This window comes from Homo sapiens, chromosome 20 (genome assembly GCF_000001405.40).
Source record: "Homo sapiens chromosome 20, GRCh38.p14 Primary Assembly".
Lineage (NCBI taxonomy): Eukaryota > Metazoa > Chordata > Mammalia > Primates > Hominidae > Homo > Homo sapiens.
In genome coordinates, this window is record NC_000020.11 from 11,810,633 (window position 1) to 11,834,274 (window position 23,642).

Sequence of the window (23,642 nt, forward strand, 5' to 3'; positions counted from 1 at the left end):
CTTTTTTCCTTTGTCACTGGATATTTTTACTGTGTTTTGGTCGCTTAAGAGTATCATTTACAACATGTCTATTCTAAGTCAAGCAAGAAAAAGAGCAGTTTGTTCAATCTTTTATCTCCACTATATTGGTTTAAAGGATCATCTCTCTCTACACCCTACAGTTGCCTTTAGTTCTACATTTATTGGAAGCAACCAACCCCAGTGGTGGCCTATTTAACACCAGCACAAAACCTAGAAGGTTTAATTGAAAGCACTGGCATTCAAGCTGTGCTTAGTAGCTTTCAGAAAAAAACTATGTATTTAAGACCGGTATTGAGTGGAACCCCATGGGTCTCAGGGCACAGAGCCCAGGGAGCAAGATCTGAAAGAGCTGAGAGAATGTCCAGTCATAAGTGATCACAATTGTGACTTAATCTAATAATACAGAATGAATAAATTGTTAATAGTTTAGATAAGGGACTGTCAAAATAAGATTAAAATAGTCTTTCTCCCAATAAAAACAAAAAGATTATAGCACCAACCTATTCCTTTTTTATAGCTGATAATTATTCAAAGATACAGAGGAGATCAGCAAGGTTATTTTTTGTCACTGCACTGCTTGACAACACGTCTCAATTATTACCCATTGTTCAGGATTAATGTCATTTTTCTCCCTATAATACATACAGTTAGAGGATTTTTATGGCTATAATTTCCACCACCATGAAACTAAAACAGAGCCAGAAATTTTTTTTTTTTTTTTTTTTTGAGACGGAGTCTTGCTCTGTCACCCAGGCTGGAGTGCAGTGGTGCGATCTCAGCTCACTGCAAGCTCCGCCTCCTGGGGTCACACCTTTCTCCTGCCTCAGTCTCCCGAGTAACTGGGACTACAGGCGCCCGCCATCATGCCTGGCTGATTTTTTGTATTTTTAGTAGAGATGGGGTTTCACCATGTTAGCCAGGATGGTCTCGATCTCCTGACCTCGTGATCCGCCTGCCTTGGCCTCCCAAAGTGCTGGGATTACAGGCGTGAGCCACCATGCCCGGCCCAGAAATGTTTATATAATTATAACTTCAGTGTTTAGAAAGCCCATGTCAGAATTGTTAACGAGATATTATGCATTAAAAAATTAAAGTAAATGTACCAAATAAAAGCTTCATGAAATAGGTAGAGAGGTATCACCATGTCCTCATTAAGTAAACTAGAAATTGTTCTGTATTGGTATTTTATTTTCAGGCTAATGTTTTACCAAATTGCTTTTTTTTTTTGAGGCACTTTATATTTAAATGTGTTTTTATATATGTGTTTATATAGGTTTTATATGTGTGTGTATGTGTATTAACCATTCTTCCTCAAAATAATTCTCCAGAGAGATTACAAATACAACTAATTGGTCACTACTTTTCTGAACTCCACAGTCCACATATAAATCTGCCAAAACTTCTTAGTGAGTAAATAAACCATTCAAATAAAAAAAGACTCAGATTCTCCACAGAGACCTAGTACACTACTAGGCAGACCACTGATAGATATTAAATATCAAATGAAAGATCATATGAATAGCACACTCTGTATATTCAGACACTTAGTCGTGACATTCATAAATATTTATTGAACCCCCAACTGTGTGTGCATAACTATTCGAACCCTTTTGGAGAATACCAAGAAGCATCCTACCTCCCGTCTTCATTTTTCTCCATAGCATTTATCATTTTCATGTATACTATACATTGTATTTATTTGTTTTCTTTATTGTTCTCCCCTACTAGAGCAGAGGTTCCCAAACTTTTTGGCACCAGGGACTGATTTCATGGTGTTACCAGTAGAGGGTCTTGACTGCAAGTTGTCCAGGTTCTTGGCGTTTTGAACAAAGAATTGGAAAAATGCGCAACAAAGCACAGAAAGAATGAAGCAACGAAAGAACGAAAGCAAGGATTTATTGAAAATGAAAGTACACTCCACAGTGTGGGAACGAGCCTGAGCAGCGGCTCAAAGGCCCGGATACAGAATCTTCTCGGGTCCAAATACCCACTGGCCACTTCATGCTCACCTCATGTAAATGAAGTGGTGGCCTGCAATCAGAGGAGTTGCGAAGAGTAGTTACAAAGTGGACTGAAGTGGAGTTAATGAAGTTCACACTCCTGTGCAAATATCTGATTGGTTGCTTTTTGTAATCAATCACAGGCTAAGGTGGAGTTACAAAGTTGCACTTCTAGGCAAAGGAAGACTGGACCGGCCATCAGTCTGATTGGTTGCGGACAGCCAATTTCCCATCTGCTTGGCAGAAAAGGTCGGGGGTTTGCAAAGGGAGTAGCCTCTGGTCCTTTTTTCCCTTAGGCGTGGAAAGTTAGGGTTTTCCTTTCAATTTAGTTCTAGGAAGTCAGCATGAAACGACCTTAGGTTCCCTCACTCCAGAACCTATACTCCTGCCTCAATGGAAGACACAAGTTTCCATGGATGGAGGGGGGATGGTTTCTGGATGAAACTGTTCCACCTCAGATCATCAGGCATTAGTTAGATTCTCATAAGGAGTGTGCATCCTAGATCACTCATACGCGCAGTTCACAACAGGGTTCGAGTTCCTAGAGAATCTAATGCCACCACTGATCTGACAGGAGGCGGAGCACAGGAGGTAATGCTGCTCACCTGCCACTCAGCTTCTGCTTTGCAGCCCTGTTCCTAACAGGCCTCAGACCGGTATCGTGGGGAGACCCCTGCTGGTATCAATTGGGGACCCCTGTACTAGAGTATAGATCCTTTGAAGTAGAGACTACATCAGATGCTGTCAGCATACTGACTTTTATCCCCTGATATGGGTTGAATTGTGTCTCATAAAAAATATATGTATTTGAAGTCCTAACCCCCAGAACTTCAGAATGTAACTTTATTGGAAAAAGTCTTTACAGAAGTCATCAATTCAAATGAGTTCATTGGGGTGGGGCTCTAATCCAATATGACTGGCGTCCTTATATAAAGGGGAATTTAGACACAGACAGAAGACAAAGTGAAGACAGAGGAAGAACACCATATGTAGAGGATTAGAACGATGCCTCTACAAGATAAGGGATGCCAAAGATTGCCGGCAAACCATCAGAAGCTAGGAAAGGACAAGGGAAGATTCCTCTGCAGTTCCAGAGCAAGCCTGGCCCTGCCGACACCTTGATTTCAGACTTCGCGCCTGCAGAGATGTGGGACCATCAGTCGCTGTTGTTCTAAGCCATCCAGTTTGTGGCGCTTTGTTACAGCAGCCCTAGGAAACTGACACACAGTCTCAGCAAGTTTTACTTCAATCCACACTGGCCCATCTTTTATTATGTACAATTATTCGCCTGCAAGCTTTTTCTAGTTGCTGGAGTTCAGATTTGCAGGAGGGTTCAGGAATTCATGCGGCCCCTCCCTGCAAGCAGCCCTGATGGGAGTTGGTGGGAATATAAACCTCCCAGCTCCCTCACTCATCAAGTGTGTAATACTAAGATAGGTGTTTCCTCGGGTTCCCTAATAGGTTGAAGCTCTGGTTGGCCCCAGTGTTTAACCTTCTGGAAAACATACCTCTTCCTTGCTTCCTCTTCTTGCCATCCCACTTCCCCCACACCTCTACTGGTGTTTTCTGACATCACTTCTCCAATAAACTGCCTGAAGATGAACCCATATCTCCAGGTCAGCTTCTAGAGGAGCGCAGTCTGAGACAGGGAGTTTCTGTAGCTCACTGTGAATTCTCTGGACTAAGAACAGTGTCTGGCAAGTAGTGGGTGTTGAATATATATATGCGGATGAAAGAATCCATGAAGCAGAATACTTATCACTTGCCCTCAAAGATTCTACAAGTTAGTCATCAAATGCAGAGTTAGTGAGTAAGAGCAGGTGACCTGTTGCAAAAGCAATGCAAGAGAGGCCACAGGAGAATTTGAGGTTACAAGCTACATGAAGAGTACAGACAACAAGCACCCTCAAGATATTAAGTGGAAGAAGAGAGCACAGAGGGCATTGGTAGGCTCACAAGGCTTCTTTGAAGGGCGACAGTCTTCTGCTGAAGGGCATATGCCACATACTTACTATTAATGAAAGAGACTTTTGCCGACCTTCCTAACCAACAGGTATTCTATAGTAGAACAGACCAACCCTAAGCAATGTTGTAGTTGTGCAAATGCACAAAGCTTGCCAGTCCCAAGTTCCACAGCAATTCACTGTGAATAGCTGAACCAAAACGAGAGCTGAGGTATTATTTTGAGAGAGAATTTGATTTGACTCTGGTTAATTCAGATCAAAGTGCATTAATCAGATTTACATAAATTTCTAAACACTAATGCATGTGAGGCTGGGGAGCCTACTTATTGTGAAATTTAGATGAGCAGCAGAAGAAAATCTATTGACATGACTTAAAATAGACACCTTTAAGTACATCACTGTAATTACTACTATTAATTTCTATCTCCATCACTACCACTCCCTACTAAAACCAGTAGCTATATGGTAGGTACTCTGCTCAGAGTTTATGTGAATTTTCTCATTTAATCACCATAACCACCCTGAGATAGGAATTCTTATTTGCAGATGAAGATACCTGCATAGAAAATAACAGAGCTGAGATTCCAATGCAGTTCTGTCTGATTCTAATGCAATTCCCATGTGCAAAAATGTTGAGTGTGATATGTAATATGAGTGTTTTCTTAATCTTTTTATCATTTCCAGTTGTTCTGTTCAAGGAATCGAGGTCAGGCCTTAAAAGCTGTGAGTTATTTTGTCTAGTAAATAATGAGAGAGAATTCATAGTTCTGCAGTTCAGCATATGTTATAAGAAGCAAAATATGGCAGACAGTATTTTCTAAAGATGACCACACCATTGTATATCATATCCCATGTGCTTATCCTACAAGATGATATCGACACTCTTCCATTGAGAGTTAGAGTCTATGTCTCATCCTCAGGCATTAGAAGGCAATATGGCTTTTCCTGACACTATCCTTTGGGGCATACACTTTGAGAACCCTGAGCCAACAGGTAAGAAGTTCATCTACTGAATGAAGCTGCAATGTGGGGCAACCACATGGAGATCTCCTATAGAAACAGAGAGCCATGCCTTAGGAGCCCCAGCCTCACCAGCACTATTGGAGTCTTTCCACCATCAACAGGCAGACATGCCAAGGAGTAGGGTTTTAGGTTTTTCATCTTGCAGCCTTCTTTCCAGTGGAAGACACGTAAGGAGAGAGGAGCTATTCCCCATCAAGCTCTGCTGCTAATTTGTAAGCAAAGTAATTCTATTGTTTTAAGCCACTACATTTTAGGGCAATTTATTATGAAGATGGAATAACAGGAACATAAAACAAAGGTATTTAACTAAGAGAAAGCCAGCCTAATGCAAATGAATCATCCCTCCTTAAATTTTTTCCTGAAAATGCATATGAGGAAAATGCCAAAATGGGCTTACTACATTTATCTTTTTCCCCTCTGTTCATGACATAACTTAAATCGTGGAAGTCTACCTTCAGTCGGAAGTGAAGTGGATTTGAAGACCTTTCAACTTGGCCTCCAGGGAATGTTCTCCTCCTCAAAGTTATTGAGTCTTAAGACTTTGATCAATTCTGAGATAGACAGCAATGTCTCAGGTCAAGAATGAAATCTATTTTTCAGCTCTGCCAAAAAGGTTCACGGCCTCTAGTCACAGATATAGCTGGTTGGGGTTAATGCTCTTATCCTTTGGTTTGGGGAGGATTTATGTCAAGATTTAGGCTGATTCATCTTTGAGATTAATAACATGAGGATGTACCCCAAAGAAGATCTAACCAAAATGCAATAATGGGAACATCCCAGTCTGAAACCTGGAAATACCTCTGCCCAATTCACAGACTGTCATTTCAACCCTTTCATACTATCTAATCCAACAATATGTGCTGTCTTTGCTCATATATCTAATTTTCTATTTAATAGGAAGATCCTAAGGTTTCTAATTAGTTTGACTATGTATATTAATAACATTTAAATACCAGGAAAAATGGCCTGTGTGCATTGATAGACTATTTAAGATCCATTTAGACACTGGTGACATTCATAAGAAATATTACATTTCCACAGCCCTTAGGCCAGAAAAATTTTTCCCAGCCCATTTGTTTTCATCTCTACCCTCACTCCCTATTTGAAGAAGGGGAAAGATGGAACTTTCCTATATGAGCTCATTTCCAGCTCTAGTCCTTCTGTTACTCACTTTTCTCTGGCCCTGTTAGTCTCTTGCGGTTCCTTAAATAGACCAAGAATATGTTGGTTTCATGACCTTTGCACTTGCTCTTCTTTCAGCTAGGATACTCTGTTGGTTTGCTTTCTCTCTCTCTCTCTCTCTCTCTCTCTCTCTCTCTCTCTCTCTCTGCAAAGAGCTTTCTGTTGTGTAGGAACGACCAGGGGTTTGTGGGTTACTATTCATCTTGGTAGAAGGGAATACTTGCTACCTAATTTTGGGTTCTCAAAAACCGAAACTTGAAACAATTATTTAAATTTATTCAGGAGGGGACCTCAGAAAATTTCAGTAGGACAATAGAAAAATGAAAAAGGGAAAGGAAATCAGCCAATGAAATGTGTGTTATCAAGCCAGTTCCCACCATGGGCAACCAGGACTTACTCCCACTTGGAAACTCTGAGCACAGTTATCCTACACAAGGAGTAAAGAAGCTGAAGTGTTTATTTACCATAGGTTGAGGGCTCCTCCCAGCATTTCTGCCCAGGCAGAGCAACCTCTGGAAGGCAGAGAAAGAAGGCAGAGAAAGAGACCAAGGGTCAGGGAGGAGTAGCTGCTAGCACAGAAATCAGGCCAGTGTGCAAAGAAATGCTGAGTGTCATATGGAGAGGACACAAACAGCATCTACCAGGGCACCGCTGGGAACTATTTGTAAAAGTACTATGCCAGTTTAAAAGACTAGTGATTATGTATATTTGGTGTAAAAAAGTCCAGGCTTCCTGGAAGAGCTGTCATTTGATGTGAATCTTAATAGATGCTTTCGCTTCCCATCAGAAACCATGAGGTTTCTCCCATAAGGGAGGCCAAGAGTCTAGAAAAGGTCTTTCCAGTCAGAACAAAGAGAAGGAAGAAAGCGGGGGCTCTCTGGGAAGCAGGGACTCTCTGGTTCTCCAGACACAAGTGGAAAGCGCTGCTCATCACTAGCAGAAACAGCAACCTGTAGATAGGTTAACAGGGAGAAATATTTTTATTTAAAAAGATGCTAAAAAATCTTAAAGGAATTAATTAGGCAATATAACAAAAATAAAAGAAACAAAATGAGGGCAAAGTATGAAGAGATATTTCACTGAAGAAAATATACGAATGGCAAATACGCATATAAAATGTTCAACATCATTAACCATTAGGAAAACTCAAATGAAGACCATAATGAGGTATCACTACACACCTATTGGAACAACTGAAACTTTAAGGTAATGATAGTACAAAATGCTGGTGAGGATGTAGAAAAACTGGGCCTCTCATACATCGCTGGTGGGAATGTAAGATGGTACAGCAACTCAGAAAAATTGCTTGGCAATTTCTTTACCAAAAAAAGGCAACTAAGTATATACTCACTATACAACCCAGCAATTGCATTCCTGGGCATTTATCACATAAAAATGAAAACTTATGTCTGTACAAAAACCTAGATGTGATTGTTCATATCAGTTTTATTTGTAATATCCAAAAATCAGAAGCAATCAAAATGTCCCTCGAGAAGTAAATGGTTAAACAAGCTGTGGAATATCATACTGTGAAATATTCCTTAGTAACAAAAAAAAGTCAACTATTGATCCAAGCAACAACCTGGCTGGTTCTCAAGGGCATTATGCTAAGTTTTTAAAAAGCCAATCTGAAAAGGCTACATATTATATTATTCCATTCGTATAATATTATCAGAAAGGCAAGACTGTAGAGATAGAAAACAGATTAGTGGTTACCAGGCATTAGAAATGGTGTAGAGGAGGGAGTTGAGTATGACTACAAACACACAGCATAAGAGAGTTCTTTTTGGTAGTGGAATAGTTCTGTATCTACATCATGTGGTTGTTATGAAAATCTACCCATGTGATTAAAATGATATAGAACTATACGTGCACATTGTAGCAGTGTCCATATCTTGGTTTTGCTATTCATACATATTTTTGATATCTATATATTTTTTGAGATAGATAGATGGATACGTAGATAGACAGATAGATAGATAGATGATAGATAGATAGATAGATAGATAGATAGATAGATAGATAGATGATAGATAGCTTGTTTGGAGGTTCTAGCATGGGAGCGGAGGTACTCGTATGCCCTTGACTGAAGACTGGTCCTCCTCTGTCGGGGATGGTCATCCTCTTTGACAGAGCATGCAGCTTTGGGAGGGATGCATATGGAGCAGTGAGGGAGGAAGGGGACACCCGTCTAACCAGTCAGATCAGCCGAATCAACCCTGGTGATCAATGGGGTGACAGATGCCGCAGCCAGATTGCCCTCACATCAGATAGATGATAGATAGATAGATGGATAGATAGATAGATAGATGATAGATAGATAGATAGATAGATAGATAGATGTAATGATGTAAAATGTAACCACTCAGAAAAACTGAGTGAAGCCTACATGCATGCAACCTCTCTGTGCCATCTTTGTAACCTCTTGTGAGGCTATAATTATTTCAAAATAAAAGGGTTGAAAAAATACTAAGGATCTTCAGCCAGTTCACACAGTCAAATCTGAAAGTGAACAGCATTGCTTGGACATGATTGTAAATTTTCTACTCTTGTTATTGAATAGAAAGGAAGTTTCCCAGAGGGCACATTAGGAAGGTAGAGCCTGCTGGATCTTCAGAAATTGTCCCCTCGTAAGCAGCACCTGGATCAGGAAACAGACACTTATCCTTTTCTGCCATTGTCCCCCATCCCTATAAGGGTCACCACTGTCCTTACTTCAAACCACATAGGTACATTTTGAGTATTAGTGTGTTTTATATAGATGAACCAATATAGTTTTTAATGAGAATTCTAGTTCTTTTCAATGTAACTATTACATTTTTGCATAAAACAGTGAATCTTCCTCCTCAGCTTAAACCCATAACTTAAAAAAAGGAACCAAGTCACCTACTCCAGGATTAGGTATTGATTCATTTACACTCAATGATGTAAAAGTAATTTGCATCGTCAACTTCTACCTAAGTATACCTCCCTAGGGCTGAGAAAAGGAGGAAGAGGATCAGGCCAATGTGGGATGGAGGAGGGGGATATTCTGTAAAGCTAAATTCCAGAAATAACTCTCAAATCAGTGAAACTCTACTTTTTGACATAATTATGTGTGAAGTATGGTTACTTGTACCTTCACTTTTTCAGTTCAGCGATGGGAAGTGAATCGCTGAAGATGTTTTGATTGTCTAAACAAGATCCAATTTCAAGCTAATCTGGGTAATGTGTGTATTCTACATGCAGACATAATTTCTTTTTGAGAAATGACTACTAAAGGAAGTTCCTTAAATTGACAGGAAAAAAAATGTTCAGTGTATCTCTCAAAGGGAAATGGGGGCTAATGGTGGGGTCCCTTGTCTGACTCAGTGACCTGGGGTTGTAAATGCCCTTCATTAGGCCTCCTTAGCTTTCACTGGGTCTAAACATAATTCATTGAGATGAAAGATCTCAAAAGATCTTTATTTTTCTGAAGGTTGTTGCCTTCTGGCAGAAAAGATTCCTTCCTTTGGAGCAAGTTTGTTTTACAGGAATAAAGAATAACAGGAAGTTGTACTCAAGGTATACACCTATATGCGATAGCCTGTACATCAGGCAGATAAGCTTCTAGTTGAATGTTAACCATGAAATCAAAACATCTTTGGTAAGTCACTTCCTCTCCCTATCCCCACAGCACTCATGTTATAAATAAACACATTTGTATATAACTGTTGAAAAAAAGTACCCCAATGCCAACTCTACATTTTGATTTTAATTTTTAGATTATCCATTTGGTGTGATATATAAAATAATTAGTACTTTCCTTTTGTTACTTTCAGCTTCTTTAAAAACCTGTAGTGCCTTAATATATTGCATCTATTGCCCAGAATATAATTTTGAATACTCCCTTCCCCACCATGTTGGAAAATCAATGTTTTAAATCTACCTTTGAGTGACATATTCTATGCAGTTGACAAATCTAGCTTCCTGTCTTTGCATTTTCCTTTTCTTTTTCCCTTTGGTATTTTAGGGTAAGTTGAATGCCAGCAAGCAAAATAAAATACCATAGTAATGGATTAATTAATACTAAACTTGCTTCATTATCAAGTAGATGGCCAGGAGTACATCTTGTGCAACACAAAGAATAATCTTGTATAACACAAAGAAAAACAGTCATGTAGAATACATTTTTTTTCTCATTGCTTATCAAGGGAAAGAATCTACTTCCAAAAAAGAAAAGGAAAATCAATGTCAGTTCTGCTTTTTACTGCTGTATTTTAATTGCACCAGTGGTAAAAATGAGTTGGCCTTTTAGGACCATTGATTTCATTTGGATGCATTTATTGTACATAATATTAGCTGCCTCCTAAATTTCAATAAAAGCGATAGTCAATGAGATGGATCTGTGTGATTCAAAATGTTTTCCAATTAAGAAAACATGGCAGTAGTTGTTACTATTGTTACTATTATGACTATTATATATTTATTACTTTGTGAGAAAAAAATAAATAAATCCAACGCCTTCTCCAAGTTCAACACCTGCTTCTCTCTAATGGAGCTCTAAGAAAAATTGAGACTCCCTATAAGAATGAAGGAACCTGGGAAAATAGTCACATAAAACCCAAGATGCTTTCAGGACACATGTTTGATTAAATGCAGAAATAAACATTCCGAGTGAATTATTGGTTTGGATTGAAAAAGATGTCAATGATTCAATTTTGTTTCTGTCCAGTAGATTTGGAGAATATATACTTTGTTCCTCTGTTTTCAGTCGAGTTAAAAATATTTGAGACCAGGCATTGTGTCTCAGGCCTGTAATCCCAGCACTTTGGGAGGCCAAGGTGGGAGAATCACTTGAGCCCAGGAGTTTGAAGGCTGCCTGGGCAACTTAGCAAGACCCTGACTCTACAAAAAAAAAAATGTGAAAAATTTAGCTGGGTGTTGGTGCTGCCTGCCAGTAGTCTCAGCTATTTGGGAGGCTGAGCTGGGAGGATAGCCTGAGCTTAGAATTTTGAGGCTGCATTGAGCAATGATTGTGTCACTGCACTCCAGCCTGGGCAACAAGAGAAACCTTGTCTCTTAAAAAAAAACAACTGTATGTATCTACACACACACACACACACACACACACACACACACACACACATATATAAGTTTCATCATGCACTTTGTGATTCGTTTGACTGATATTCTGGTTTTTATTAAGTTCAAACAACATTTCCAAAGGGGTTTGCATTTTTATAAGCAACTAAAGACTGAAGAAAAGTTTTATGTTAATGTGGCTACCACTGAAAAGTGTGTGTGTGTGTGTGTGTGTGTGTGTGTGTGTGTGTGTAAAATAGGGTGATTTATGTGTAGGAAATTTTTAATAAGGGAAAACTAGTGTATTTTTAGAGAACTTCAGAGTTAGGCCTCAGGGCTCTGTCTCAAAGTACAGTTTCAAAAACTTTATCTTAATCCTTTAGATCTTATAGCTTATTTACACTACTTAAGAACATTTTTCTTTCCTTATGCAGAGCTGTGGGAACAAAAGAACCACCACCACAATAAAAATAGTTGAATTCAGAGATGCCTTTTCTGGTGTTCAAAGAAGAAAACTGTAACCTGTCCACATGGCCTGAAAGCCTATGAGCTTTACACAAAACTGCTGCATTTTGAGGTTTCTTGAAAGAGTTATTAATGTTTTGATAACTTTTTAACTTCCCCGTTTTCCTGCACTACACCCTTTATTATTGGACTATGCTATTTAGTGACATGAAAGGAAATCGAAGTCTTGAGCTTCGTGACACAGAGCTTGGTTTAAAATAGCTCTTCTACTTTTAAACTGTATGTACAGGTTTATCTTATTTTTGACAAGGTTTTGCAAACATTCTTGATACTATTTGACTTTGTGACATTGGATTTGAAGTCTTTCTTCTGGAGGTTATGTTAGGACAGTACACAATATGTGAAACTGAGCTTAAGATTTTATTCCCCAGCCTTTTATTATACTGTAAGTGTTCTTAACATTTAAACACATTTCATAATCTAAATCTAAGCTTTTTTTGAGTTAGCATGATATTTCTTTACTAAGTTTATCACCAAACCATATGTCAAAAAAATTCTTTTAATTTTTTCCTCTAGAATTACAATGTTCCAACTCAAGGAGAATGCTGCTTTTTGATGAAGGAATTTGGAAATAGAATATTGACCATTACTCATTTTATGGGGATAGTTCATTAACTGCTTAATAGTGCCAATAATTCTTTGTGCATAAGGACCTCTTTTTAAAGAGAAATCAATTGAGTGTCTTGTACATGATAATGTTATACCTTAATATTCATTGATTAATAAACTGAAAGATGACAAAAAGATATTATTCAATGTATTCAACAAAACAATTTGTGTCTTATTGATCACAAAAGTATATTTTGGAAACCTAACATACAAGCATTATTATTTATTCATTTCACAAATAATGTGGTATTCAAGTACTTGCAATTCTTAGTAATGATTTTTTAGTCCCCTGGAGACCCACGGCTTCATCTCCACAATTTTACAAAGTCTGATTTATTTAACTAATATATGTATATATGCTCATACATATTTAAAGGATATACTCACAAATGTAGAGAGATAGATGAAGGCAGACTTAATGTTCCCCTCAGCTTGACTAAACTTTAGACATGTTTCTTTCTGACCATAGATCCCTGACTTCCCTTTTCTTAGAGCACTCACTTTAGAAAACTTGTAATTGCAAATTGTTTCTTTACCCCTTTGAAATGTATATAAATCTTTTTTAAAGCCTCTTTGCAGTATAAAGACCCAGGGAATGTCTTCCTCAAGGACCTGGGAGCTATTCTTCAGAAATAGAAGCATCAAGGAAGATCATGCCCTTATCTCCCAGTCTCTGTGGGAGGATAGGAGCCTAAATTCAGCCTTGTTCCAACCCTGTAAAATTATCTCCTGTCATGAAGATACAAGAAAATTTACTTTTCATTTGGAAAACACTTAGCAAACACAGGTGGCCTACAATCCCTTATCCCAACTCTTAAAAACTCTCAACCCTTTTCTCAGCTGAGTTGGGTGCTGGCCTCTCTCCCCTATTGCAATAGGCTTAAATAAAATCTTTCGTTCTTGTTTAACTTATTCTGGTGTAAATTTTTTGACAAAATATACCACAAGAGAAACAGCCGAATCAGTGACAGTTTCTTCTTGTCAGTAAGTAAGAAAGCTGTAACTCTCTCACACAGACCTCAAAGACTACTGGGCTTTATTTGCGGTTTCTTGAAAGAGTTATTAATGTTTCAGTTACTTCAACTTTTCTTTTCCCTTTCCCTCTTTATTATATAAACATATACAGTGTGTTATATATAATCATTATATAATATATAATAATGTTTATATAATAATATACATTATTAAATTATATAACATAATGTTATGCTATAATATAATATGTAATATATTATTATAATATATTATAAATAACATAATTTATAATTTGTTATTTAGCCTATTATATAATATAATGTATATGCTATATTATAAAGGGTGAAAGGGGAAAGAAAAGTTGAAATTTCACCCTTTATTATATAACATATGCATACAACTGATTCTCATTATTCACAGTAGTTTTGTTCTATAAAGTCACTGCAAAGACCGAATCAACAAATAGTGAACCATTGCTCCTAGGGAAAATACACGATTAGGTTTCTGAGAGTCTCTGGTCACAACATTTTCACCAACCTACCAATACATAACTTTGCTTTGTGTGTTTTTCTGTTGAAAGACACCTTATTTAACATACATTGTTGCTTCATTAACATTGAACTCACAGTCTACAGCGCTATAACTCAGGCCTAAGCGAAGCTTATCTAACACACATATGTTCTCCATAAGGCACGTCACAGTTTTCTTGCACTTAGAAACACTTCAGCAGTATGCCTGGGATCCATTTTAAACAGCAAAAGTACCAACAAAAAAGCACAAAAATGTGAAAAAGATAGTAATAAATACACCACAAAAAAGGTCCTTGTTTACAGTATGAAAGCTGAAAGAAGAAGGCAGAGCAGCGCTTTGTTCATCCTCCACTGGAAATGTGTGCATTGAGCTATGCTAATTTTTTTTAGATGGAGTCTGGCTCTGTCGCCCAGGCTGGAGTGAAGTGGCGCGATCTCGGCTCACTGCAAGCTCCACCTGCCGGGTTCACGCCATTCTCTCGACTCAGCCTCCAGAGTAGCTGGGACTACAGGCGCCCGCCACCACACCCGGCTATTTTTTTTGTATTTTTAGTAGAGACGAGGTTTCACCGTGTTAGCCAGGATGGTCTCGATCTCCTGACCTCGTGATCCGCCCCCTCGGCCTCCCAAAGTGCTGGGATTACAGGCATGAACCACCGCGCCCGGCCGAGCTACGCTAATTTTTTGCCTTTCTGTGCATGTTCACAAAAGACTAAAAAAATTCTATAAGTACTGATTTGGGATTACAAATAAATATTACCAGTCAAATTAAAAAATGTGGGCTCTGTAAGTAATGATGATCAACTGTGTATATGCACATGAAGCATATATATGTGTACGTATATACATTTGTTATATATTATTTTATGTTAAAAGATGTGTATCCACACATATATTTGTTATAAATTTATATATGTTATATATCGTTAGTTTTTCGTGTGTGTGTATATATATACGGAGAGAGAGAGAGAGAAAGGAGAGAGAGAGAGAGCCAGATTGCCTCATGATTCTGCTCTTCTGACTAATCTAAACCCTAACTGAACCAGGGTGCAGGTGTGTATTTAAAAACATCATTTTGAGAAGGGCTTCTAGGCTTCACCAGTCCACCAGTGGGGACCATGTCTCCAACAATCCCCTGCTCTAGGGCATATGGTCAACTTCTCCAAATATGCCCAAACTTTTCTTATCTTATTTGTCTAGAATCCATCCCAGTATACAACATGTTATGTCTGCTATGTTATTATAGACATAGACATATCCAAAATGGGGTGAGCCACTTAGTTAAGAAGAAATAAATGGCTTACTACCACTCTCAGTCAGAAGGAAAACAGCTAGGGGCCTTGAAGAGTCAGCTGGTTGGTGAAAGAATGAGGATCTACTACGTATTCCCTTCAAACCAGTCAGAACCCCAAGCCAATTACACTACCCTCTTCAAAGCCCTATAACACAAATGTTTTCGATTTCCAGGCGCAGTAATAATAATTAATTACTTATTCATAAGAAATGCAAATCTTCTGATTCCTTCTTTAAATATCTTAAATGTCAAGTAGCAGGTGGTTTTCAATTCAGTAAACAAACTGCATTTGCTTGGATAGATGCGAACAGTGCCACAGCTACATTTACATCTCTCCTGGCTGAGTGAATGCTTCTATATCTTCTAACTTTGTTAAGCCAGATATAGACAATATTGAAAAGCAGGTTCCAAAGTTATCTTGCAAAGGCACCAGAAGGCCATATCAGCTTCTATATATCTTTGATAGTAATGACAAACACAGTGATGGACTTTTCTAGAAAGCTAAACAAAAGAGTAACTTTTTTAGAGAAATGGGACATGAAAACAAGGCAATGTGTGATCCAGAATTGGATCCTGGACAGGAAAAAAAAAGTTAGTGTAAAGGGCATTTTTATAAAAATGAACAAAATCACGTCCTTTGCAGCAACTTGGATGCAGCTGGAGGCCATTATCCTAAGCGAATTAACACAGAAACGGAAAAACCCAACACCACATGTTCTCACTTACAATGGGAGCTAAACATTGGGTACACAGGGACACAAGATGGGAACAATAAACACTGGGGATTCCAAAAGCGGGGAGGGAGGGAGAGAGGGAGGAAAGGGCTGAAAAACTATGCAAACAGTATTATGCTCACTCCTTGGGTGATGGGATCAATTCTACCCCAAACCTCAGTGTCACACAATATACCTATGTAACAAACTTGCACTCCTGAATCTAAACTAAAAGTTGAAATGTTTAAAAAGAGTGTGATTGATTGGAGTAATTTAAATAATATCTGTTGATAGAATATTAGTATTATATCAATATTAAACCCCTTGAATTTGATAATGTACTGTGGTTATGGAAATGAATAGCCTTGATCCTGGGAAACACACACTGAAGAATTACAGGTAAATGGGCATAATTTCTGCAACGTGTTCGCAGTGGTTCGGAAAAAACGTGTGTGTGTGTGTGTGTGTGTGTGTGTGTGTGTGTAAAGGGAGAGACAGTAATACAACAAATGTGGCAAAGTTTTAACAATTGGTGAATCTGGATGAATGGTATGTGAAATGCCTTTGTATTAGTCTTGCAAGTTTCCTGTAAGTTTGTAATTACATAAAAATTGCAAAGTAAAAAACCAGTACCTCTACTTTATAAAAATACAGGCATAACTGAAAATGCCTTCAGTATTACATGCTAATTTACTACTTAGTAGTTCCAATCATCAAGAGCAGCCATTATTATCTCCAAGCTCTAAAAAAAAAAATAAAAAGATACAGTAATTACCTGCCTCCCAGCTGAACTTCAAGCCTGCCCTTTATTCTCACAATAACAGATAAGTCTTATCTCGCTTTCTCTGTCTCTGTCTCTGTCTCTCTCTCTCTCTCCCCCTCTCTAAGTAGTGTCAGGACCTTTCCATGTTCTCTTTCCACATGGACTAAACTGGGCTTCCTCACAACATGGTGGCCTCAAGGCAGCTGAATTGTTCAAATGGTGGCTTAGGAATCTCAGAAGCTGTCCTGAGAATCACGTCTACATGGCCTTTTATAAAACAGCTTCAGAAATCCACAGAGTTTCTTCTAACACAGTCAGAAGCCTGCCCAGTTTAAGGGGACAAAATATAGACACCACTTGCCATGGGCGATGGTCAGAATGTTTGTGTCCCCTCCAAATTCATAGGTTGAAACCTAACTACCAATGTGATGGTGTTAGGAACTGGGGCTTTGTGGGGGTGATTAGATCATAAGGGCTTGGGAACAATGCCCTTAAAAAAGAGGCCCCAGAGAGCTGCCTTGCCCCTTCTACCATGTGAAAAGACAGAGAGAAGCCACTGTCTAGGTATCAGGAAATAGACTCTCCCCAGACATTGAATTTGTTGATGCCTTGATCTTGGACTTCTCAGACTTCAGAACTGTGAAAAGTAAATTTCTGTTGTTTATAAGCTACCCAGTTTATGACATTTTGTTGTAGAAGTCCAAACGAGCTAGGACCACCACATTTTGATGGCAGGATAGTCAAACTTACATTTTAAGAAGAACATGTGAGATGAGAGATCTTGTTATAGTCAATTTGAAACTACAATCTGTCACATCTTTCTAATATACATTTGTAAAATCAGATCATCATGAATGACCTCATATGAACATCTATTCCTAGATTATTTGTAGTCTCAAGGCCTGTGGAGAGACAGACTTATCCAATAACAGAGAGCGCCCAAATCAATGCTTTTGGTCTGTTTCGTGTCTACAGTTTCTAAATGTCTTGTCTATATATCATACTCTTTCTGAGTAAAAAATTACACATGCATGCTCCAAATCACTGCAGGTATCCTTGGATAACACAAGCCTTCTAGGATAGTGGTGCGAGACCAGATGGAGTCAGTGTCTTAATTGGGAGTGCTCTTGAAAGCAGAGCCTGAGACAGGGCTTCGGTACAAGTAGTTTATCGGGAAGTTCTCTCAAAGATCAGGAGTGAGGGCAACACAGAATGTAACAGAGATGGGAGGAAATTCAATCCAACAATCCATTATGGAGTTGTAAATGAGCTTGTTGTAAATGAAGATCAGTGGAGAGAAATAATGATCCATCACCTTCTTTCCCAATTAGGTAAGGGTTGCCCCAGTGGGTGCAGACAGCCCCCATGCTTCCATGTTAGGCCCAAACAGTCCTGGGCATACATCAAAAGATGAAAACAAGTGGCATGAGGTTGATAAAAACAGCTGTATCATAGGTGAGTCTGAAAGAGTGGGAAGTAGGGCTCAGAGACATCCAGAGCACTCATAATTGCTAAATAATCCATTTCACATCCTCAGCAAGAAAAGCCTATTTTCCTTTGTGTCAAAAAATCGTCACAAAATATTAACAATTGTATTTAATACATTAACAATTTTGAGGTGCTGAGAGCCTGTTATGAAATTTTCAGATGTTTTGTGAGCCAGTTAAACAAAACCATTATTAAAATTAAATTACCTAAACTTGCCATTAAATAGATTATATTAAAACAAAGTTAAACATAATTTATCCTTTGTAATTATTTCACTACATTAATTATTCTGTATGGTCTTGGTATTAGTTATGTCTTTTGCATCTGTATGGTGAAAATACTACATAACGTGCCCTCCCACCTATCTTTTCTCAACTCTGTGTTGCACATCGGTGATGTCGCATAGGTAATGTGAAACCAGCCATGGTGGGAGTGTTTACATGACAGAAATCAGTAAACACTACAAATCAAGGCTTTTATCTTTTTTGTTTGTTTGTTTGTTTGAGAGCAGGTCTTTAAACATTTCCCAATACAGCAACAATCATTTTCACTTTTGTCCTTTTCATTCCTTCTACTTCCTGTTGAATCCTGTCTTCTCCTCTCACCCCCATTCTGGTAATGTCATGTTTATGTTCATTGCCTCAAAAAAATGGAAGATACACTAAAAGGAGAGGAATAACAACTGTTTTCCAGGCTTTTGAGTTGTGAAAGGTTAGGCCCTCTGGGAAGAAAGCAAGCTCATATACACAGATAATAAAATAGATTTTTGAGAAGGTAAGATTTAGATAAGTAAAGTTTGCTGGCTTACCCTCCCCTCAAACAAAATAAAGGACTTGGGGAGAAGAACGGGCATGGGGGTGGCTCCCTAAGAAAGGAAAACAATAAGACCTTAGGCACACCTCCTTGGGACAAGACTGATTGAAAACCAGGATAGGTTTGGAAGAATGAAGTAAGGGTTAAGCCTCCTTTGGTGAAATTCCAAGCAGTCAGGAAGACTGTGGGTTAGAAATAGAAGCAGATTATGTCTAGCCAGTTGGCCTTCATCAACTTGACCAAGTCCCTGCCTTCAACCCCATGTGGCATAGGGATGTTGAATATCTCCTGCAGACCAGGATGACATGACAATGCGAGAAAGACCCTCATCTGGGATCTTGCAACAGAACTTTAGGATTATGCACCAGTAATCTGTAGGACCAAGGACAGAGAGCCATGTGAAGGATGGCTCACAAAGATCAATGTGACAGAGGAATGCATACCCCGGATCCAATGCCATGCAAACCATGACACAGTGAATACCTCAGAGCTAAACATCCAGCCCTGGGCAAACATGTGGAGACCCTGAATTAACTGAAATTAAATTATACTTTATTGTGGCATAGGGTCTTATAATAGAAATTAACTAGAGTTGCAGAAAATAAAGACAGCTGAATTCTTATGCACTCGAGTTTGTGAGCTTGGATTGGTACCGGCTGACCTTGACTGGATGGGAAACCGAGTTTGGAAAAAGTACCTATTTTAAGTGTTCTTTTTGAGTTCATTTTACCATTTGCCATATGAGGAACAGGTATATGCCTGTTGCTTCCAAGGGCCAGGTTGATAATAGGTTGTATTAATTGACCTAGAGGTTATGCCAGTGAGGGGTGCCTATATGCTAAAGGGACTTTCAAGGGACAGAATTTTGGAAAAATGAAAGTGCATTACAACTTTCTCATGTCTTGTCTAACATCCAGGAATCATTCTCATGCCAGGATAATGTCTATCCCAGACACCAACATACTGAAAGAAACCTACATTTTTTCCCTCTCTCTAACTTCTGTGAAATATTGTATTATTTTACAGATATTCATTGCCAATCTGTGAGAGAGGATTCTGTTTGCCTACTGGGTTGACACCTGACTTGGCCACATGACTTGCTCTACCAAAGAAATGTGAGAGAAGTGATGTGCTTATGTTTCCTTTGCCATCATGACCAGCAATGCTCCAGGTTTTAGAACACTGATGCAAAAATGACTGTCACTTCTCACTTCTCCCTTTGTAATATGATTCTATAGCAACTTCCACCAAATTTGGAGATATGGAGATCGCTGTCCCTAGAAGCTGGGCTAGCCTGAGACATGATTTGGTCAATAGAATGTGGTAGAAGCAGTAATGTGCCTTTTTGTTAACTAATTTGCAGGAGGGTTTACACTCTTCCATTCACTGTTTTGGAATTCTGATACCATCGTGTAATTCAGCACGGGTTAGCTGAAAGAGGAGAGACCAGTGGACCAGGGATGCATTGTCTTAGCTGAGGTCATCCTAGACCAGCCTATGCCAGTCCATCCCCAAATAGGTGAGTGAGCCAAGCTGAGCTCAGCCAAGCCAGGCCCAGATCAGCAGAACTTTCCAGCTGCCATGTAGACTCACGAGAAAAAAATAAATGTTTATTCCTGAGTGCTGCTGAAGTTTCATGGTGGTTTGGAATTACAGGATTAATGTGGCAAGAAATAACTAATACACAGATTGAAGCTGCTCTGTTGGCCTGCACCTGGAGTACAGAAGATGTAGGACAGAGCTACAGCAAGCAGGCACAAGGCACAAAGCATTAACAAGAAAGAAACATTCATGTAAGCCACTGAGATATGGAGTCTATTTGTTACCCAGAGTAACCTAGCCCATAGTGACTGATATACCAACTGACATGCCTAACTGTGCTTGATTCCTCAATTTCTCATTTCTTTTTTTCTCGCTGGTTGATTTCTTTTCTATGCTTTCTATTTCATAGAAACTGCGGTTGCACAGATCTCCTGTGACATGGACATGCAACCTCTTCTTTCTTGGTTATTCATCCTGAATTTTCCCTGACTTTGGTCCTATTTCTTTAATTTTTTTAAATTTTAATTTTTTTAAGCGATGAGGTCTCACTATGTTGCCCAGACTGGAGTGCAGTGGTGCAATGGTGAAATCACAGCTCACTGCAGACTCGAACTCCTGGGTTCAAGTGATCCTCCCACCTCAGCCTCCCAAAGTGCTGGGATTACAGGAATGAGCCACCACATCTGGCCCCTGACCTTAGTGTTAAGATTCATTTCTTTCCCTTATATTCGAGGATCCTGGGACCAAAAGACTGGGTTTTGTTGAATTAGAAATTTTTTCGCTTTGCTTGATGACGAGAGTCTGCAAGACAAAGGCTAAGGTTATATTTTTGCGGGTCATTTGCAGATTACTTTTAGAATTTACTTACTTTTATGTTTATTCACAAGATCATTTAAGGTATAGTGTGCCAAGCAGCCAACAAAGCATGACTTTTATTTTTCAGGTTGCTGGAAAATTGCTGAACTCTCCTGCAGTATTTTAAATAACAACTGAACAACATTCAAAACAGCCCATCCATCTTCTCTATAGAAATACAGGTGCTACCAGAGAGCACTGTAGAAGAAGCTTTATTTCTGTCATTCAAGACATGGTTAGACATTCCAACAGAAATTTTTAAAAGAGATTGTCACCCCACTATATTTGTTAATGTGAAATGTTATTATTGCTTTGGAAAGTCTGCTTTGACCATAACACTTTTCTCACTCTGCCTTTAAATTCCAAGTAATTCTAGTTGGAGAAAGACTGTCGTCTTCTGAGTTCTCCTACCAAAACTCTTCATGCCCAGGAAGATCAGATGCAAGGTTATCCGAGCTAACACTAGGAGGTTAGCTCCTAGTGCTGAGAAGGCCATGGATGAACACAGAAATGCCTCTGCTTAGGAACCATTGCTGAAGGAAACTTCCACACACTAATGGTGGGTGTGGACATGGGTACAACCACTTTGGAAAGCTAGCACTAACCATGACAGTTCAACATTTGTAACCCACCATGACTCAGCACTCTTATTCCTAGGTATATATTTAATAGAAATGTATATATTTCTTTACCAAAAGGTGTATAATATAATTTTTTTTAGAGTCTTACTGTGCCACACAGGCTGGAATGCAGTGGCACAATCATGGCTCACTGCAGCCTAGAATTCCTGGGCTCAAGAGATCTTCTCTCCTCTGCTTTTCAAGTAGCTAGAACTACAGGCATCCTCCATCATGCCTGGCTAATTTTTAATTTTTCTTTTGTAAAGATGAGGTCTCACTTTATTGGACAGGCTTCTTTTGAACTCCTGGCCTCGAGCAGTCCTTTCATCTCAGCCTCCAAAAGCACTGGGATTATAGGCATGAGCCACCACATCCCATCCTATAATAGAGTATTTATAGCAGCATTATTCATAATAGCCCCAAATTGGAAACTACTCAAATTCCCAACAGAAGTAGAATGGAAAAAATAAATTGTGGTATATTCATACAACAGAATGCTACCCAGCAATGAGTATGAATAACCTACAGCTATAGCAAACCATCATGAATCAATCTCACAAATATAACATTGAGGTGGAAAAACAGATGCAAGAGTTTAGACTGCATGAGTTCATTTTTATGAGGTTTGAAAATAAGCAAAACTAGTCTATGGTATTAGAAATCAGGGTGTTTGCTACTTTTAGAGGGTGGTGACTTGGAGGGGGCTATGAGGAGGGCCTCTGTGAGGATGGTAATGTTCTGTTGGCTGATCTGAGTGTTGGTAACATGGGTATGTTTCCTTGTGAAAATTCTTTGAATTCCAGTTTTTTTTTTTTATATATTCCTCTGTATGTGTGTTATCCTTTACTAGAGAGTTAAGGGGAAAACAAGACAAGAAAGAAAACAAACAATTATTCCAAAGTGTTCTTTTGATTATAACCCTATTATGAAGTCTCCTAATATCACTGATCTCTTTGATCTCTTTTTATTGTACATGTTCCATCCAAAATTTTATACTCATTTGTGTGTCAGCCTTATATATTCCAAAAACAGTACCTAGAATATATAGACATTCAATAAATACTTTTCAAGGAAATGAAAGGATGGATGGATGGATGGATGGATGGATGGATGGATGGATGGATGGATAAACGAATGTCTATGTTCCCAAATATTCAGTGAGCAACATAAGGTGAGAAACTCTTTCTGGTCTTGCTCGCCAATGACCCACATGTTTGGCACAATGCCTGATACGTCGTGGGCCCTTAATATATATTCTTATTTTAAAAGACAAGAAGAAAAGAAAGGAGGAAGGGAGGGAGGGGAGGGAGGAAAGTAGGGAAGAAGGAAGGGTAGGGAAGGGAAGGGAAGGGAAGGGAAGGGAAGGGAAGGGAAGGGAAGGAAGGGAAGGGAAGGGAAGGCAAGGCAAGACAAGGCTAGGCAAGGCAAGGCAAGGCAAGGGAAGGAAGGCAAGGGAAGGGAAGGGAAGGAAGGCAAGGGAAGGGAAGCGAAAAGGGAGGAAGGAGACAGAAAGGAGGTGGTGAGAGGGGGTGTTGCAGGGCCATGGTATGTCATTTCTACCATCCTGCCTGTAGATATTTAATGGAGAATTGTGCTTTTCTCAAAGTAACTTTTTTGCTGTTGTAGTCATTGAGCAAAAGCTCAAGTGGGGAACCACAGACAGACCAGGTGATTCTCAGGTT

The 23,642-nt window shown here is 38.9% G+C and overlaps 1 long non-coding RNA gene and 1 pseudogene across 1 annotated transcript in view, besides 1 other annotated feature; both read right to left on the reverse strand.

The window, feature by feature from the left end:
- LINC00687 (long intergenic non-protein coding RNA 687) overlaps window positions 1–23,642 on the reverse strand; it is a 60,729-nt gene that overhangs the window by 646 nt on the left and 36,441 nt on the right. The gene's annotated exons all lie outside the window — the stretch shown is intronic.
- RN7SKP111 (RN7SK pseudogene 111) lies at window positions 8,189–8,459 on the reverse strand (annotated as a pseudogene).
- Window positions 20,938–22,137: an enhancer, noted in NCBI's record as "CDK7 strongly-dependent group 2 enhancer chr20:11812218-11813417 (GRCh37/hg19 assembly coordinates)". NCBI's record gives its function as "activates an origin of replication core promoter dependent on BRD2, BRD4, P300/CBP, MED14 and CDK7 cofactors, with strong dependence on CDK7, by STARR-seq in HCT116 cells {active_cell/tissue: HCT116}" and the evidence as "EXISTENCE:reporter gene assay evidence [ECO:0000049][PMID:35650434]".